General features: G+C 38.2%; 1 long non-coding RNA gene across 1 annotated transcript; it reads left to right on the top strand.

The window, feature by feature from the left end:
- Positions 1-5,877: 5,877 nt before the first annotated feature.
- On the top strand, positions 5,878-14,011 carry LOC124907974 (uncharacterized). The gene is made up of 2 exons (XR_007088074.1): positions 5,878-6,100; positions 9,701-14,011. It is a non-coding gene; the product is annotated as an uncharacterized LOC124907974 (long non-coding RNA).
- Positions 14,012-20,889: the final 6,878 nt, after the last annotated feature.

Below are 20,889 nucleotides of genomic sequence, written 5' to 3'. Positions count from 1 at the left end.
GAGAGATTAGAAGAGCTTCCTGATTTAGGCCGGGCATGGTGGTTCACACCTGTAATCCCGGTACTTTGGGAGGCCGAGGTGGCCAGATCACTTGTGTTAAGGAGTTTGAGACCAGCCTGGCCAACATGGTGAAACCCTGTCTCTACTAAAAATACAAAAAAGAATTAGCCAGGCATGATGGTGGGCACCTGTAATCCCAGCTACTTGAGAGGCTAAGGCAGGAGAATCTCTTGAACACAGGAGGCAGAGGTTGCAGTGAGCTGAGATTGTGCCACTGCACTCCAGCCTGAGTGACAGAGCGAGACTCCATCTCAAAAAAAAAAAAAAAAAAAAAAAAGAAGAAGAGCTTCCTGATTTGTCAAAGTCCATTTTGTTTTTCTCAAAGCTGTTTTGATTATGCATGACTTCTTCCTTGACTTACTGTTAGGACAAGCTCTCAAAATTTCCTGGCAAAAGAGTAACAACTTTAATTATATCATATGGTTCTGGAAAAGGAATTATCTGTCAAGTAACCATGAAAATATTTTCAAAATTCTTTCTTTTCACAAATATTTTTCAACAGCTGTGCTCTAGAGAAGCATCAAAAAAAGTACTCCTGAGAATGGTTGATTTTCTGCTTTGTTTGTCCCTGTGCATCTTGCATCTTAGTGAAATGCAGCAGGACAGATCACTTCCTTTTTCAACATTTATTTAGCATTTACTGTGTATACACAGGCACTGGTGAGCTCCTGGAGCAGGGTGGGAGGTTTACAAAGAAAAAGGGTGATTCCTCCTTCTAGGGCCATTGTGATATCTATTAGTCACTTCCTCCTCTGGCCTATCAGCTTGTGGCTGCTTCACTCCTGTGGTCTTGGCCTTGCATTCTCCCTCAGAGGACAATGCTTGGGCCATGGAAGCCTGTTGCCAGGACTAACCCAGAGCAGAAAGTGCATGGGGGCACTTATATCCACCAAGGGAGGCTATAGCCAATGACAGATGGAAGGGACTTGATCTGAAATTACTTCTGTGTCTGGCTTCTCATTCTCTCACTTGCCTCCTCCACTCCCTTTCCAGTTTCTCTTGGGAGCACTGGGGGCAGTTTGCAACTTGAGACAGTAGCCATGTATATCACTCAGGTTCTCCAGAGAAACAGAATCAATGGGCTATATAGATAGATACATAGATAGACATAGATACATGTATGCATGTATACAGATACACAGTCAATTATTGTTACTCACAATTCATAGTAATTATGTTCTATTATGTTGCTGCGAATACTGAATTAGCAAATATTGAATAGTCGCTTGTATGAATAATAAGAAATACAATGGCAAATACAGGGTTGGATTCATAGAGTCTCTCTGTCCACAACATTGTCATCAATTAATCAAGATATAACCTTGCTTTATGTGTGTTTCTTCTTAAAGACACCTTACTTAATATAGTCATGCACTGATTAATGATGTTTCAGTCAACAACACACTGTCTATATGATGGTGGTACCATAAGATTATAATGGACCATATATAGAAAAGTGATATATGGCACTTGATATTGGCATTGCACATCAAATAGAGGAAATGATTAATATTCAGTAATGGTGCTGGGATGTTTGGTTTTCCATATGAAAAATTAATATAAATAAAAATGTGCCTGTGCCATCTAGGTTTGTGTAAGCACACTCTATGATGTTTGTAAAACAACAAAATATGATGCATTTATCAGAACATAGCTTTTCATTAAACAATGCATGACTCTCTATATATTTTTGATTTATTAACATTGAGTTCAAGGCTAAGAGCACTAAAATCCTTGCCTGAATAAAGCTTATCTAGCACATACATTTTCTCTGGAAGGCGTGTCACAGCTTTCTTGCACTTAGAAACACTAGACAGCACTTCAGCACTGTGCCGGGAGAGGGGCATTTTAAACAGCAAAATCAACAAAAAGCACAATGATGTGAAAAACATGGCATTAAATATACCACAGAAAGGAGACTTGTTTACAGTATGAGAGTTGAAACAAGGCTGGACGTGGTGGCTCACTCCTGTAATCCCAGCACTTTGGGAGGCCAACACAGGCAGATCACCTGAGGTCAGGAGTTCGAGACCAGCCCGGCCAACATGGTGAAACCCTGTCTCTACTAAAAATGCAACAATTAGCTGGGTGTGGTGGTGTGTGCCTGTAATCCCAGCTACTCAGGAGGCTGAGACAGGAGAACCACTTGAACCCAGGAGGCAGAGGTTGCAGTGAGCCGAGATCATGCCACTGCACTTCAACCTGGGCAACAAGAACGAGACTCCATTTTAAAAAAAGAGTTGAAACAAGAAGGCAGAGCGTTGCCTGTTTGTTTGGCTTTGAGTAGGAACGTACCTGAGGAGCAACTCAGCATTTTCATTACTATGTGCATGTCCAGAAATGACTGCAAAACTATCATATTGATTTTGGGGTTACAAATAAATTTTAGTAAGTAGGCAAAACAGCAAATACGGAATTCATGAATAATAGGGATTGACTGTATGTCAATATACATGTTATATATATATGTGTGTTATATATGTATATATTGCACATATAAACATCTATTATATGTATATATTACAGAATATATACATATAATGCATACATATATTACATATGTGTATACACATAATATGAATGTATTTATTATATATATTTATATACATATACATTTGAATGTACATATATGTAGATATAGATACATCAGATACATATATACAGCCTGAAAACTCAGGCAGGAGTTAATGCTGCAGTCTTAAGGCAGAATTCCTTCTCCAGAAAACCCACAACTCTGGGAAGGCCTTCAACTGATTAGATGAGGCCCACCCACATTATTGAAAGTAACCTCTTATACTCAAAGGAGTATCTAACTGATTGTAGATGTTTTCCAAATTTGTAAAATGTCTCTACAGCAACACTTAAATTAGTACTCCATTAAATCACCGAGGCCTAGCCAAGTTGACACAAAAATTCCCATTCCTTGCAAATAATTTTAATCTGAAGTTGGTTTCTCCATTCTTCAAATATCCTTTGGCTACTCAGCCACTAGATATCTCTACTGGCTGTTTCCCTGCAGGGTCTCTTATTTCACCTCCTCTTTGTGAGCTTTCTCTTTTTTTCCTGCGAGAGCAGGATAGGTTTCATTTTGTTTTTTGGGCTTACGCCTCTGGATACCACTTTCCATCTCAAGAAGGTTAGCCAAATGTTTTCCCATATAGCTATAAAAATTAAATCCGTTTTAAAATCTTGTTTTATTTAGATGGGGATCAGAAATAAAAGGCTAGTGGTGATTTGAACTAGTTCTTGGAGAATCAGTAGGATTAGAGTGGGCTGAGATAGACTGGATATAATTCAGGGGGCAGGATTAACATGAACCAAAGCACAGGGATGAGATAAGTGCAGAGCACAATCTTGGAAGACAGATTGCTCTAGAATGGCTGAACATCAAAATTAACGTTGGTAATCTATGGAACATTGAGACAGAAAGATGGGCATGAGCCATATTACAGATCCTTGAATGTAATGATGGATGATGAGGAGTTGGTTGTATGAATACAGCAGCTTAGGTATTGTATTTTTATTTTTATTTCTACCCATCCACCACATCACTCAGCCTCCTTTCTCCTCCCCAAAGAACTGTGCCGAGTCTGAGCTGCAGTTAAAGCTTCGAATGCAGGTTCTGGCTCTGAGTTCTGAGCTGAAGGTCTAGGAACCCTGAGTATGAGTGAAAGGAGAAAAAATAAAACCAAAAAAAGGATTTTGGGGCTCAACATTTAATAAGTAATTACAGAGTGTAATATTTACCATACTTTTCACTTGCCGTATGAGTGCAAAACCAGGAGAAACTCCTATGAGGCAGTGCCATGCACGAACATGGCTGTCAGAGGAAGTTGCAGCAAACTGAGAGGGAGAGCATTTGAAAATGTGGAAAACGGCCTCTTTCTCTCTATTCCAGAAAGTGACCCCAAAAAGAGTCGAGTGCCTCCTCTATTCTATTCTCTAGCCTATGGAATACAAAAATCACAAAGCGCTGACTGAATATGGCTGTTTCCTTTGTTCTCCCTCTGTAGAGCTAAGGGGCTTTGGGAGGTATTTACAGGCAGTTCGAGTGCAAATGGATGTCCAATAGTTCTCACTTTAAAAAAAAAAAAACCCTCAAACAAGTAGCCTCCAGGTGCATCCCAAATGGCATGTTGATTGACTCAGCTCAAAAAGAAATTAGGGATGTAAATGTGTTTGAGAAAATTATTACCCAAATCACAACATCCTCTTCAGACAGTTGTATGATTGAATACTGAAAAGAACATTAAAAGTCTTCTAGCAAAAGCCTTTGCCAAAGTATTAAATGATAGACTGGTATGAATTCTCTTCTTGCCCTCTGAGAAAAAGATCTTCTTTGCCTTTGATATTCATTCAGGTTTGTTTGCATGTATAATTCAGACACATTTGTAGGTAGCCTTCTGTCAAAATGTCATGAGATTTCATATTTAGAAGGACTAATACTTGGAGTGATGTAGTGAGTATTAAAATTATTGGCATAGACAACTGTCATACTGTCTTAAAGCAAATGTGGTACAGACGATGTATACCAAAGGTGAATATGCTGAACCTGAAATTATATTGACAATATCTTTCATTCGTATATTAACCTCTTCAAAAAATTTTATTGAAGTCATAAAAAAGACACTTCATTTTTTAAATGAAGACCTAATAAACACCTGAAGTTTCTCTTAATCGTAGATTTTTACCCTATTAATTCATCAATTTGTTCATTCTATAAATAAATGTCTATTAGTGTTAGACCTTCGAGACATGGCAATGAACAAGAGAAGCAAGGACAGTTTCTGGCGAGCTTATATTTGAATGTGAATAGAATTAGAATTTATGAGACAAACAAGATAAATTAAACAAAAATATAAAAACATCTCAGAGCTTGAGTTTCAGCTTCCTTTTCCTATCACTTAATCCACCATTGGTGATTAATTTGATCAACATCATCTATCATTTTAAATTATTTTTCATTGATGGAATTTCAGCAGTAATTTTCTTTTCTTTTCTTTTCTTTTCTTTTTTTTTTTTTTTTGAGACAGAGTCTCGCTCTCTTGCCAGGCTGGAGTGCAGTGGCATGATCTCAGCTCACTGCAACCTCCGACTCCCTGGTTCAAGCGATTCTCCTGCCTCAGCCTCCTGAGTAGCTGGGATTACTACCACTGAGTACTGAGTACTGAGATTACTCAGCCTCCCGAGTAGTTGGGATTACTAGCCACCACACCCAGCTAATTTTTGTATTTTTAGTAGAGACAGGGTTTCACCATGGTGGCCCGGATGGTCTCAATTTCCTGAATCTTCTGATCCTGTGATCTGCCTGCCTCGGTCTCCCAAAGTGCTGGGATTGCAGGCATGAGCCACCATGCCCAGCCTTCAGCAGTAATTTTCTAACAGGCATATGTGGATTTAGGAGGAAGGAGAAAATTTAAAAGGACACGGAGAAATTTTTACTGGTGTTATCTTTATAAGTATCTGACTGGTTGGACTTGCTTGAGCTTGATCAAGAATGGTTAACAGTTAATTCTGGAAAGATAATGCTGCTATTCTGTTATTATGTGTCTGGTCCTTTTATGATGCTTTGCTCTTGCAAATATCCAGGGACCAAGGAGCAGGTATAAAAGCCTATAAACAAAAAATATTTTATTGATCAGTGATACATTTATTTGGTCAATGAATAAAAATTACATATTGCAAACTTTGTAAACACTGTCCTGTAACCAATAACTATAGTTGTTAGTACTCAAGTGAAAAATTTATGATCAGTTCTTGGTTGGATTGAGTCTGTCTCTCTCCCTCTCCCTCTCTCCCTCATGTTCATTAGCACAATAGTCTCTCAAGAATGGCAAATTGTGCGGAGGAGATTAAAGATGGCTGACTAGAGGCATCTGACAGTCACCTCCTCCATAAAGAAGAATCAAAATAGCGAGTAAATACTGGATTTCAAAAGTGAAGTGACAAGAAACACCTAAAAGGAAAGAGAAAGAAGTGAGGCAGTCTGTTTGGCAGGATCAGCTGGGAGCCCAGAGAAGCTCCCCAACGTGAGAAAAGGGTAAGTGAGACGTCCCCAGTCGTCTACATTTCCACCATGGGCTCCTCCAGTCCTAGCCATGGGAAAGCCCCTCCACCATTGCAGGGCCTGAAATTAGCATAGGGGGCTGCCTGCAGATGGCACGACAGCATTGCTCCAGAAAGGGATCTCATGTGGGGTCCCACACACCCCAAGATCCCAAGCAGCTACAGCATGGTGAGATTTTGAGAGTCCAGTCTCTACCAGACTGAATCCTTCCCTAGGGCCCAATAGTCCCTGCATCTCTATATCCCTGGTACCCCATTGACATCCCCTGCCTACAGTTGTCACTGCTGTTGGCTGCCACTTCTTGGGCTGAAGCAGGAGTCACTGGCAGCAAACCTACCCCCAAGAAGTGGGGCTGTTGCACGTTTTCACGTGCCTTGAAGCCAGGAAACCCAACCCGCAGCCACCACCTGGGCCTGAAGCTTGTGATCCCCAGCCACCATCCTACAGCCACCAACCTACAGCAGCTCTGACCTCCCCAGCAGCAGGGCTGCAGCACACCTGCTGCCTTCACCACCTGAGCACTCTGACGGGGGCAGGGGATCACCTCAACAATACTCACCACAGCCAGTACCCATACATATACATACCTGGGGACCTAAGGACAGGTCCACCCAGCCTAGCTTTGCCTCCCCCGGTGTCTGAGCACAGTATGCAAGGCTAAGGGATCACTCTGTCATGTCCACCACTGATTGGCACTAGAGTACTCCTCCCAGGGCCCTGTGGACTGGTCCACCTGGACTGTAGCAGACACTGCCAAAACCAGGACGGACCGCTTGGCATTCTAAGAGCTGTCCCAACACTGCTACTGCCATCACCAACACCATGCCTACTATCTAGGGGCCTGAGGACACACTCACTTGCCCAGCCCACTACTACCACTGCTGGCACCCAAGGAAGCTACCTGGAAGCCTAAGAATTAGCCTTCCAGAACCCACTAACACCATTGCCAGTGTATGCTGCCCTTAGGTTCAAGGAGAGGCATTCTCAGCCAACCACTGCCACCACTGGGAACAAGCGATCAGCCCACCTGGCATCCCCATCTCCAGCAAAATTTCACCACAGCTTCCACTAACAACCATACCCTAAGACACTGAGGAAATAACAGACACCACTGACCCAAAATTATATGGTGACTACACTACTGCGCACACCCAGACTCAAAACCAAAGTGCGCTACCCAACCAACACCAGAGATACATATTCAGGAAAAAATCCTCCCTTATGAAAGCAAATCCGAAACATTGGGGAAAGTGACTATTGTGCTAGGTGAGCGGGTATCAACATAAGGACCTAACAAACATAAAAGAAGTAAGGAACTGTTACATGTTCAGAGGAATGCAATAATTCTTCCGCAACAGATTCCAATGAAAAAGAGATTTATGAAATGCCAGGAAAATAATTAAAAATAATGATATTAAGGAAGCCCAGTGAGATATAAGAGAACACAGATAAACAATACAAAGGAATCTGAAGAACAATTCAGGATATAAATAAGAAATTTACCAAAGTAAAAAAAGAACCAGACAAATTTTGAAACTGAATAATTCATTAAATAAAATAAAAATTCAAAATATTAAAGAGCTTCAATGATAGACTAGATCAAGCAGAAGAAAGAATTTTAGAACTTCAAGACAGCCCTTTTTAAATAACCCAGTCAGCTGAAAAAAAGAAAAAAGAATTAAAAAGAATGAACAAAGCCTACATGTCATATGGAATACTGTAAGTGATAAAATAATCAAATTTTCAGTGTTCCAGAAGGTGAAGAGAAAACCAAAGAGAAAGAAAGTACATTTAATAAATTAATAGTGGAAAAACTTCCCAAATCTACCAGGACATTTACACATCTGGATACAGGAAGCTTAGAGATTCTCAAATATTTATAATACAAAAAGATATTCTCCACAGCACATTATAGTCAAGCTGTCAAAAGTCAAAGACAGAGAGAATTGTAAAAATGGCAAGAGAAAAGCATGTAGTCACTTATAAGGGGATCTCATCAGACTAACAGTGGATTTCTCAGCAGAAACCTTACAGGCAAGGAGAGAATGGGATGATGTATTCAGAGTGCTCAAAGAAAAAACTGCCAGCCAAGAACACTATACCAAACTAAGTTATCTTTCATAAACAAATGAGAAATAAAATATTTTCCAAATAAGCAAAAACTGAAGGAATTCATCACCACTAGAAAGGACCTACAAGAAATGCTTAAGAGAGTCCTAAACCTGGAAGCAAAAGGACAATATCTACCATAATGAAACACACAAAAGTATAAAACACACTGGGCAGGCAAACACACAAATGGGGAAGAGAAATGACTGAAATGTTACCCCTACAAAATGTATCTTTTATACAGAAAACCACCAAACTATAATGATAAACAATAAGTGGAAAAGAAAGGAACAAAGGTTATATAACACATTCAGAAAACAATTTAAAATATGATAGGAATAAAACCTGATATGTCAATAATAACCTTGAATTAAATGGAATAAGTTTTCCACTTAAATTGTATAGACTGGCTGAATGGATTTTAAACACATGATCCAATTATATGCTATCTACAAGAAACTAAATTTACCTTTTAGTCTATATGTAAAGATAGACTAAAATATATGTAAAAGATAGTCTATATATAAAGATACATATAGACTAAAAGAAGTAAAGAGATGGATAAAAGATAATTTATACAAATGGAAACCAAAAGCAGTCAGGAGTAGTTGTACTTACAAAACAGGCTTTAATTCAAAAACATTTAAAAAGACAAAGAAGGTCATTATACAATGATAAAGAGATCAATTCGGCAAAAGGATATAACAATTATAAATTTATATGCACTCAACACCGGAGAACTCTGATACATAAATATTATATTACTAGATGTAGGCCAGGTGTGGTGGCTCACGCCTGTAATCTTAGCACTTTGGGAGGCTGAGATGGATGCTTCACAAGGTCGGGAGTTCAAGACCAGCATGGCCAACATAGTGAAACCCTGTCTCTACTAAAAATATAAAAATTAGCCGGGCACGGTGGCACACGCCTGTAGTCCCAGCTACTCAGGAGGCTGAGGCAGGAGAATTGCTTGAACCCAGAAGGCAAAGGTTGTGGTGAGCCGAGATCACACCACTGCACTCCAGCCTGGGCAACAGAATGAGACTCGGCCTCAAAAAAAAAATTATATTACTAGATGTAAAGGAAAAAATAGACTCCAATACAATGTACAATAATAGTGGGGGACTTCAACACCCCATTCGCAGCAATAGACAGGTCATGTGGACAGAAAACAAAAAAGAAACACTGAACTTAAACTGGACTTTAGACCAATGAACTTAACCTTTACTGTTTCCAATGGCTACAAAATACACATTCGTCTAATTAGCACATGAAACATTCTCCAGGATAAATCACATTAGTTCACAAAAGAAGTCTCAGCAAATTTTTTAAAAATCAAAATCACATCAAGTATGTACTCAGAGCAAGTATCTTTACTGTTAATCTGATTAGATTCCCTTACAGGTGACTAGATACTTTTCTCTTACTGTTTTTACAATTCTCTTTATTTTTGACTTTTTACAGCTTGACTATAATGTGCTGTGGAGAATGTCTTTTTGCATTATAAATATTTGAGAATCTCTGAGCTTCTTGTATCCAGATGTGTAAACATCCTGCTAGACTCGGGAAGTTTTCCACTATTAATAAAACTGGAATAAAAGTGGACTAAAACTAGCAATCAATAAGAGTAACTTTGGAAATGATACAAATACATGGAAGTTAAACAACGTGCTCCTGAATAACCACTGGGTCAATGAAGAAATTAAGAGAGAAAATTTTAAAAATGTATTGAAACAAAAGAAAATTGAAACACAGCATACCCAAAACTATGGGATATAGCAAAAGCAGTGCTAAGATGGACATTTGTAGCAGTAATACCTACATCAGAAAAATGGAAGATTTCAAATAAACAGTCTAATGATGCACCTCAAGGAACTTGAAAAGCAAGAACAAACCACATCCAAGATTAGTGGAAGGAAAGAAACGATAAAGATCAGAGCAGAACTAAATAAAATAGAGACTTAAAAAAACAATACAGGCCGGTCACTGTGGCTCACGCCTGTAATCCCAGCACTTTGGGAGGCCGATGCGGGCGGATCACGAGGTCAGAAGATCGAGACCATCCTGGCTAACACGGTGAAACCCCGTCTCTACTAAAAATACAAAAAATTAGCCGGGCGTGTTGGTGGGCACCTGGTAGTCCCATCTACTCGGGAGGCTGAGGCAGGAGAATGGCGTGAACCTCGGAGGCGGAGCTTGAAGTGAGCCGAGATTGAGCCACTGCACTCCAGCCTGGGCGACAGAGCAAGACTCCATCTCAAAAAAAAAAAAAAAAAAAATACAAAGGATTAATGAAATGAATAGTCTCATTAGAGACTATTATGAACAACTATGCACTAACAAACCGGAAAACCTAGAGGAAATGGATAAATTCCTGAACACATACCATCTTCTAAGGTTGAATCAGAAAAAAAATAGAAAACCTGAACAGACCAATGAGTAACAAGATTAAACCAGTAATAAAAAGTCTCTGAGGAAAGAAAAGCCGAAGACCAGATGCTTCACTGCCAAATTGTACCAAATGTATAAAGAATTAATGCTAATTTTCCTGAAACTATTCCAAAAAGTTGAAGAGGAGGGAATTACCCCTAACTCATTCTATGATACCAGATGCTGTCTCTCCTGCTCTGCCGTGTGAAGATTATGCTTGCTTCCCCTTCGACTTCCACCATGATTATAAGTTTCCTCAGGCCTCCCTAGCCATGCCTCCTGCACAGCCTGTGAAACTGTGATTCAATTAAACCTCTTTTCTTTATGAGTTACCCAGTCTCAGGTAGTTCTTTATAGCAGTGTGAGAAAAGACTAATACAATAATGAAGGACAAAAACCATATGATCATCTCAAAAGATGCAAAAAAAAGCATTTGATAAAATTCAACTTGTCTTCATGATAAAAACTCTTCACAAACCAAAAACCCCACCAAAAAACTCTTAAAACTAAGAAATTCAGTAAAGTCTCAGGATACAAAATCAATAATTAAAATTAGTAATATTTCTATACACCAATAATGAACTAGCTGAAAAAAAATCAAGAAGGCAATACCATTTACAATAGCTACAAAAAATACCTAGGAATAAATTTACCCAAGTGGATGAATGACTACAAGGAAAACTACAAAACACTGATAAAATAAACTGAAGAGGACACAAACAAATGGAAAGACATCTCATGCGCATGGATCAGAAAAATTAACAGTGTTGAAATGCCCATACTACCCAAAGCCATCTATAGATTCAATGCAATTGCTATCAAAATATCAATGTCATTTTTTATAGAAACAGAAAAAAAATCCTAAAATTTGTACAGAACCAAGAAAGAGCCTGTATTAGTCTGTTTTCACACTGCTGTAAAGAAACACCACAACTGGGTAATTTATAAGCAAAAGAGGTTTAATTGGGTCACAGTTCCACAGGCTCAACAGGAAGCATGGCTGGGGAGGCCTCAGGAAACTTACAATCATGGCAGAAAGCGAAGGGGAAGAAGGTACATCTTACATGACCTGAGCAGGAGGAAGACAGAAAAGGAAGAGGTGCCACACACTTTTAAACAACAAGATCTCATGAGAACTCACTATCAAGAGAACAGCAAGGGGAAAACTGCCCCTAGGATCCAATCACCTCCCTCCAGGCCTCTCCTCCAACACTAGGGATTACGATTCAACATGAGATTTGGGTGGGGACACAAATCTAAACCATATCAGATCCCAAATAGCCAAAGCAATCCTAAGCTAAAAGAACAAAGTTGGAGGCATCACGCTACCTGACTTCAAAATATTTTACGAGGTGATAGTAACCAAAACAGATAGTATTGGTATAAAAGCGTACACATAGACAAATGGAACAGAATAGGGAAAACATAAATATATATTTATAGCCAAATGATTTGGACAAAGGCACCAAGAACATACACTGGGGAAAGAATATCTTCATCAATAAATGGTGCTGGCAAAACTGGATTCATATTCAGAAGAATGAAACTGATTTCCTATCTCTCACCATATACAAAAATAAACTCGAAGTACATTAAAGACTTACATGTAAGAGCCCAAACTATAAACCTGCTAGAGGAAAACATAGGGGAAACATTTCAAGACATTAGGCAAACATTTCATGGCTAGAAACTCAAATGCATAGTCAACAAAAACAAAAGTAGGCAAATAGGGCCATATTAAACTAAAAAGCTTCTGCACAGAAGAGAAAATAACACAGTGAAGAGGCAACCTGTTGAGTGGGAAAACATATTTGCAAACTGTTTATCCAGCAAGGAACTAATTTCCGTAATATACAAGGAACTAAAACAACAGTAAGAAAACAAAGAATCCCATTAAAAAGTTAACATGAATGGACATTTCTCAAAAGAAGACATACAGGTATATAAAAAATTAACACCACTAATCAACAGGAAATGCAAATCAAAGCCACAATAAGATATCATTTTACCTTAGGTAGATTGAGTATTATTAACAACAAAAGATGATGCTGAAAATGTGGAGAAAAGGGAACTGTTATACATGGTTGGTGGGAACGTATGTTAATATAGCCATTGTGGAAAACAGTATGGTGATTTCCCAAAAAACTAAAAATAGAACTACCACGCAATTTAGCAATCCCAATATTTGAGTGGAGTGCAGGTATCCCTTTGAAATACTGATATCAATATACTGATATCCTTTCTTTTGGATGTCAGTATATCAAAGGGATACCTGCACTGCAGCACTATTCACAGCAGCAAAAATACAGAATCAATCCAAATATCTGTCACTGAATGAATGAATAAAGAAAATGTGGTATATATACACAATATAATACTACTTGGCTATAAAAAAGAATGAAATCATGTCATTTGCAGCAATGTGGATGGAAATGGAGGTCATCATGTTAAGTGAAATAAGCCAGGCTGAGAAAAGGAAATATCATATGTTCTCACACACATGTGGCAGCTAAAGAAAGTGGATTTCATAGAAGTAGAGAGTAGAATGATAGAGGCCAGAGATTAGGAAAGGTGTGTGGATAGGAGAGAGGGCATGAAGAGAGGTTGGTTAATGGGTACAAACATATAATTAGACAGAAGTAATTGGTTAAAATGTTCAGCAGCAGAGTAGTGTGACTATAGTTGACAACGATGTACCTCATGTTTAAAAATAACTAATAGAGAGCACTTGAAATGTTCCCACCACACAGCAATGATGAATACTTGAGGTGATGGATACCTTTAATACCTTTAATGACTTGATCATTAACACATTCTGTGCATGTAAGAAAATATCACATGTACTCTACAAATATGTACAAATATTATGTATCAACAAAAAATAATGGCAAATTGAAGGCAAGGGTCAGTATTCACAGGAGGAGGGCCATTTCTGGCCTTAACCCCTTACCCAATCTGTTAGGACCTTGTCTGCCCTCTTTCTACGGGCAATACGGTTTGTTGTTGTTAAAGGAATGGATAAATGCATAACAAGTATTGAGCTTTGGTTACACAATTAATTGAACAGGTTGTGGCCAGAGGGCAAACCTTCCAGAACAAATCAAGTACCTGCTATACATTCCTATATGCAACTGTGACACTGAGCTCATGTCTCTGTCTCCTTGGTGTTGATATGACTTTCTTGTTACTAGAGGTGGGGAAAAGAGACTCATCCTTTCTGAGAACTAATAATGACTTTTTTCCACTTGGTTGAGTTCTGAAAATTACAGAATTATAGTTATGAGTAACAGGACATTGTTTAGAATTGCATTTTATCGCTTCAATAAAATTCCCAAATATACACCATTTTGCCCATTGTGTCACATCGGGGTTTAAATTGTACATTTCAGTCTATATTCTCCCCTTTTGAAAAGAACAGCAAATCACACTTTTGCTGGAAAAAAAAAAACTCTCGACTTGGAAGCAGAAGACTAGATTTTACAATTTAGTAACTCTGGACTTTGGGTAAGCTGCTACATATCCCTAAGCCACAGCTTTCCTCATCCATAAAATAAGAGGGATTCTTAGATGAGCTTTAAGTTGTCTTTCCAGCTTCTTAATTCCTCAACCAGTTGAGTAGCCAGTCAACATTACTCACCTTAGGCTATATTGGCCTCTCAGATTCTGTCCCCATCTGAAATCTACTTCCTTCTTGTTCTCTTACCAGCTGTCCTCCAGTAACTTATAGAAATGCCCATAGAAGTGAGGAGAACTTTTACAAATTAATTATGTTGCCTATTTCTGTTAATATATTGTGTTTCTATATTTTTACTAAAAATTATTTTTCTATCAAATTATTGTGTGGAATGCTGGAGAAAATGCAAGGTTCATTTAAAGTCAATTCCACACACATTTTGTTGTGCTCACTGGCTCCACAGATTTGTTACATGAAAAATTCTTTGCATGCCCACATTCCAGAGAGAAAGAGCAATGAACAATTCTGAAATGATTTTCTATTTTTATTTTTTATAAATTGGAGCTGATTCTTAAATACAGAAATACTTCCATTTTTTCTAGTGGTTCTGTGTCCTGCAGTGATGTGTAGACCATCTCACAGAGGACTCACTTCTGATAATCCTTTCCTTGGGCCAGGCCTGGCACCATAGTTCTTAGACGTGTTCATTTTTTTCTCATAACCACTTCTCTTACCTTTTTATCTACATTCACACTGCTAGGGGAATTTGCGAATCTCTGCATTTTAAACAAGTCTTCTTGTGGATCTGTACATTTTTTAAAATTTGATTTTAATTAGTCTTCTTTTGTCGTATAGTTATATAAGTTTTGACAAATGCATAGTCCTGAGCACCACTCTCAGGACATAGAATAGTGCTCTTACACTAAAAATGTCCTTGAGCTGCCTCTTTGGAGTCAAATCCCACTCTCAGCCCTAAACCTTGTCAATTACTGATTTGTTTTCTGACCCTAAAGTGTTATGTGTTTTTAGACTGTCATGTAAGTGAAATAAGATAGTATTTATTTTTTGAGTCTGGTTTCTTTCACTTCGTGTGATGTATTGAGGACTCGTTTATGTTGGTGCATGTATCAATAGTTTGTTCCTTCTTGTTGCTGAGTAGTATTCTACCATATGGATGTACAACAGTTTATATATTCTCCTGCTGAAGGACTTTTGAGTTGTTTCTAGTTTGGGGCAATTATGAATAATACTCCTCTAAATATTCATGTGCAGATTTTTGTGTGGATATGTGTTTTCATTTTTCTTCGGAAAATACCTAAGAGCAAAATTGCTGGGTCATGTAATAATCATATATTTGATTTTCTTAGAAACTGCCAAACTGTTTTACAGGGTAGCTGTACCAGTTTGCATCTTCACTAGTGTTGAATGAGAGTTGCAGAAATTTCTCTGTCAGTACTTGATATAGCGAGGGTTTTATTATTTTAGTCATACTAATAGGGGTATAGTGAAATGTACTCTTTTCTTAAACCACAAGAACATCTTTTACATTATGAAATAGACTACTTAACATTGCAGTCTAGTATATTTACATTTGTATTAAATTACCAATATCTGAAGCAATCCCAAGGATCAAAGGACCATGAGTAGGCATTTGATTTACATCTGCTTGGCCAAAAAGACGTATGAGAGATCTATCCCCAAACAAAGATAGGACCCCACAATGATAAACTACACATCTTGAACTGTAGAAAGCGAACACATAGCTTTAAACTAGCTTCCCCGTCCTGGTAGAGCCCACTATCAAGAGTTCAAAAATAATGGAGACCTCTCAGATTACACTACTATACAACTAGGGAATACTTTAAAAAAAAAAACAAAAAACAAATCTTTGCTTTATAGAACAAGTCAAAATATAGAACTACCCACACCATTAGTACCATTGTATTTTCAAGAATTAGACCTGACTCTTCTTGGAATTGCTTTCTCTCCTACTACCTAGTGACTACATGGAACTCCTGGTCTTTGAAGTCGGCTGAGCCTCAGACTTGCAGTGTCTTAGCCATGCATTAGAATAGCTAATGTCTTCACTATGACTTTTGTCCTCATGGCATCTCAAAATCTTACTAACTTCCTCAGAACTAGAAATACCATTTGACCTAGCAATCCCATTACTGGGTATATACCCAAAGGATTATAAATCATGCTGCTATAAAGACACATGCACACGTATGTTTATTGCGGCACTATTCACAATAGCAAAGACTTGGAACCAACCCAAATGTCCAACAACGATAGACTGGATTAAGAAAATGTGGCACATATACACCATGGAATACCATGCAGCCATAAAAAATGATGAGTTCATGTCCTTTGTAGGGACATGGATGAAACTGGAAACCATCATTCTCAGCAAACTATCGCAAAGACAAAAAACCAAACACCGCATGTTCTCACTCACAGGTGGGAATTGAACAATGAGAACACATGGACACAGGAAGGGGAACATCACATACCAGGGCCTGTTGGGGGGTTGGGGGAGGTGGGAGGGATAGCATTAGGAGATCTACCTAATGTTAAATGACGAGTTAATGGGTGCAGCACACCAACATGGCACATGTATACATATGTAACTAACATGCACGTTGTGCACATGTACCCTAGAACTTAAAGTATAATAAAAAAAAATCTTACTGACTTCCTCAATTACTAGACTAGCCTGGTACTGTTGGTTTGTCCTATCTTGAAGCTGCTTAGAGCCTAGTGTGGCTGGGTTACATCTTAAGTGGGAGTTAAGGAACAACTACTTATAGTCAAAGTTACTCCTGAACTTTTAGAATAATGCCACGTTGGAGGCCACAGCATGCTGTCTCACAGCTGAATCCAGTTCTGCCAGTTTTTCCTCCAGCTTTGGAACGAGTGACTTTTTCTTCAGTTGAGCACCAGATGAAGGAATTGGCTTGTGTGTGTGTAGGGACCATCTGGTAAGAAAACAATCCTTGGCACCTGAGTACCACAATTCTATTAAGTGCATCTGATTCTCATGCTATGAGTGGCTCAGAGAAAGTGAGATAAACTGAGGGAACAGACTTATGTCTCCCGCTCGTACTCATCTTGGGCACCTACTCAGCATATTGAGGGGGATGGCAGGTGAAATTTCTGGCACCATCTTAAATGTTATTTTTCTGTCTTTCCTGCAACCCTTTTCCTATCTTCCCAAGGTATATAGTTGGATTTCTGCAAGAAAAATGTCATAAAATCTGTAAAGTTACTTTTCTGTAGTGGCAATGCAGTAGCTGGCTACTGTCTTCTTTTCCATTTCTTCGCAACGGGATGGAGAAATATTGATAGATTTTATGTACCCTCTTAATGTCTAATGGCAAACTTGGCCAACCTTACTCCTTCCCTGAACAGTGCCCCCACTGCAAGTAGCACAATTGGTGAGCCTGCACACAGAACAGCCATATTCAACGCTGTTCTTACATGAGTGAGAGACATTCTTTTCAGCTGCTTCTAGCCCAAAGCCACAGAGTGCCCCTCCTGAGGTCTATAAATGCTCAGGCAGATTACAGAGCTGGGCTCATTAAAATCTGGCCGTAGAGCAATGGTGGTGACAAAATATGATATGTTATTACTTTCATTTTCATTTTCTGAAATGACTGTGGCATTACTCATTGGAGGTGCATTAGACATTTTAGATACGTTTTTACCCAATCAAATTCATAGAAGTAAAAATACCAACAAAGTTTCCAAAATATGACAACACAAATTTTCAAGTCTGGTTTAATAATACAAAATAACTGCTACTTATTTGTAATAAACAACAGTGTGTAAAAATAAATAGAAACCAATAAATGTACTTAATAAACAAATTGTTTAAAAAGAAGTAGATAAGAATTGAAAATTTGCTAGTGCAGAGCCTTACATAGTAGGAATTCATTAACTATTAATTGCCCTTGTTTTCTTTCATTTTTAACCCTTTGTATTTAGAAGATAGGTTTGTTAATGACCTAGTCATGGCAAAAAGAATAAAAAATGCTTAATAAGAAAAGTTATTCCTTGGACCCCCCTTTTTCTGGTTTGTTTTGGAAAGGCAATGTGGCACAACAGAAATAATATTTATGAGGCAAACCTATATTTAAATCCCAGCTAGTTGTGTGACCTTGAGCAAACTATTTAATTTCCTGAGCATCAGTTTCTTATTTTCAGAAGAAGATAATGTTCCAAATATCCAGGGCAGGGGATAATAACACTGCCTTGTGGAATCATTTTAACAGTTTAGGATGAAGCCATTAAACATTCAATGTATTGAATTTCTTTTGATTCCAAGAAACCTTCTAACTATGTATAGTTTTCTTGATAGGTATCTCCAGATTTTGTGGTGACCAAATGGGCTTCTAGATCTTATCAGTCATTTCCTAGTGTAAACCAGTGATTCTCATTTACCTAACCATGTTGCTTTACTAAACATAGAAAAAGAACGAACCATTTATCCAGAAGGCATGCTGTCTACTGGTGCAATGAGGTCTCGTCTTAAATTAATATACCTCATTTCATAACTGTAATTAAAGTGAGTTTCACTGCTTCTCCCAGAGACAGACCTGCTCTTTATGTAAAGGTGAAATTAAGCTTTTGAGCCTGCAAGGTGAAGGACTAGCAGCTGAAGGTTATACATTTAGCGAGGTAAGGAATGTCACCCAGGGAGACTTCTTTCTAGACTATTCTACTTCTGCATACCCAATTAAAGTTTACGTTTAATCATTATTACAGTAATGACTGGACATAATTTAAAAATAAAAAGTATTTGACTTAAGTATTTGACTTATAATGGAAAACTCTCAATTCCTGTTACTTGCAGGCAACTGCTTTGAATTCTTTAAGCTATTTCTTCTGATATTTACCCCCATATTTCTAAATTGCATGCCTCTGGTATTGATTTCTTGATTTTTAAAGTTTTAGATATTCTCTACTTATCTCTTCGGATGAAAGAGGAGGATGTTGCTAGCTTACACACACTGATACACATCCACGCAGCTAGCACACACACACATGCATGCGCACACACATACAGCTCTTCCATATAGTTATATCATATTTTTAGAACAATTGAATCATTATAGTGTTATGAAAACATTGTTCATAGCTGAGACATTATTAGTGAGTATTATAGTTGTGCACATGAGCATTTTCTTGCACAATTTTTGCTTTTTCTAGAATGTATATTGATGAAGGGACCTGCTACCCCATAACATCACTCTGTATAGTAGACAGTTAAAGAGTTTTTGTTGTCTACAATGCTTTCAAATGCCCATTTTGAAATTTAGCTCAGCACCTACAAGGCCTGCATTCCAAGCTCTCGCTTCTAGAGATCCTATGGACTACAATTCTTGGAAGAGACCTCAGCTTGTATCCAAGCATAAAAGAAAAGCAAACTTTGATATGCCTAGGAGCTGTGATTCCATCGTCCCTGGCCTCTGGCTGGTGAGCCAGCCCTTCCTCTCTTTCTGCAGAGCTTTTCTTACTGACAAAGGTTTGTTGCTAAATTCTGAGTTTGTAGTCTTAGTTTCCTTAACAGGTGTCGCTCTTCATCTTTATGTTTTCCCAACCTCCTCTGAAATTTTAAACATACTGCAGTTTTGTCATCTGCATGTTCTTCTTGGAGATGGGCCTCCTTAAGACTTTGTCCTGCTGTAATGGGGATGAGCTGCTCCAGAGCTGGCAACGCACCTACCGCCCCAAGACTACGCCTCTTCCCCATCCACGGGAGGCTCTCCATCTCCCTCCTCTTTGGGGCTCTCTGTTCTTTGTATCTTTATCTTATCTGATTTACTCCTCAATTTTAAAGAAGTACATCCTTCAGTAGTTTCCTGGGAAAGAGTTTGTGGTAAGTACATTTAATTTTTTTTTGACTGAAAACATCTTTATTTTCACAGTTGCTAATTTTGCTGAGTACATATTCTAGGATAAAAATTACCTTTTCAAATGCATTCTTCCAGATTTCAGTGTTGCAATTGGGAAGTTTGGTGCTATAATGATTCTTTTTATACATTAATAACTTTATTGAGTGATAATTTTATACTGATTGTTGATCCACTGTAAAAAATATATATATTTTTACATTCTGAAGACATTTATTTGTTTATTTTAATTTCATTTTATTTTACTTTAAGTTCTGGGATACATGTGCAGAATGTGCAGGTTTGTTACATAGGTATGCATGTGCCATGGTGATTTGCTGCAACTATCAACCCGTCATCTAGGTTTTAAGCCCCACATGCATTAGGTATTTGTCCTAATGCTCTCCCTCCCCTTGCCGCCCACCTCCGACAGGCCCCGGTGCCTGACGTTCCCCTCCCCATGTTTAAGGTCTATCCTCAGTCTCTGTTATTCATGAATTTTATATGTTGTGGCTTGAGGTGAGATTTATCAATGGGTCTCTTTAAAGGTAAAAATGTATGCCTTTTAGTTCTAGAAAATATTTATATTTTATCCTATGATAATCTCTTCTGTTTTCTGTGCTCTCTATATCAGCAACTATTATTATTTAGATGCTAGGCTTTCTGGATTGGCTAAATAAATAAATTTTTCCCTCGATTGCAGTATCTCCATATTTTATTCCTATTCTTTATTTTACTTTTCAATGCTTCTGTTGAAATGTTTATTTCTGGCCTGGCATGGTGGCTTACACCTGTAATCCCAGCAATTTGGGAGGCCAAGGCTGGTGGATTGCTTGAGCTCAGGAGTTCGAGACCAGCCTGGGCAGCAAGGTGAA

This window comes from Homo sapiens, chromosome 2, assembly GCF_000001405.40.
Source record: "Homo sapiens chromosome 2, GRCh38.p14 Primary Assembly".
NCBI lineage: Eukaryota > Metazoa > Chordata > Mammalia > Primates > Hominidae > Homo > Homo sapiens.
This window is presented reverse-complemented; position numbering and strand designations above follow the sequence as displayed.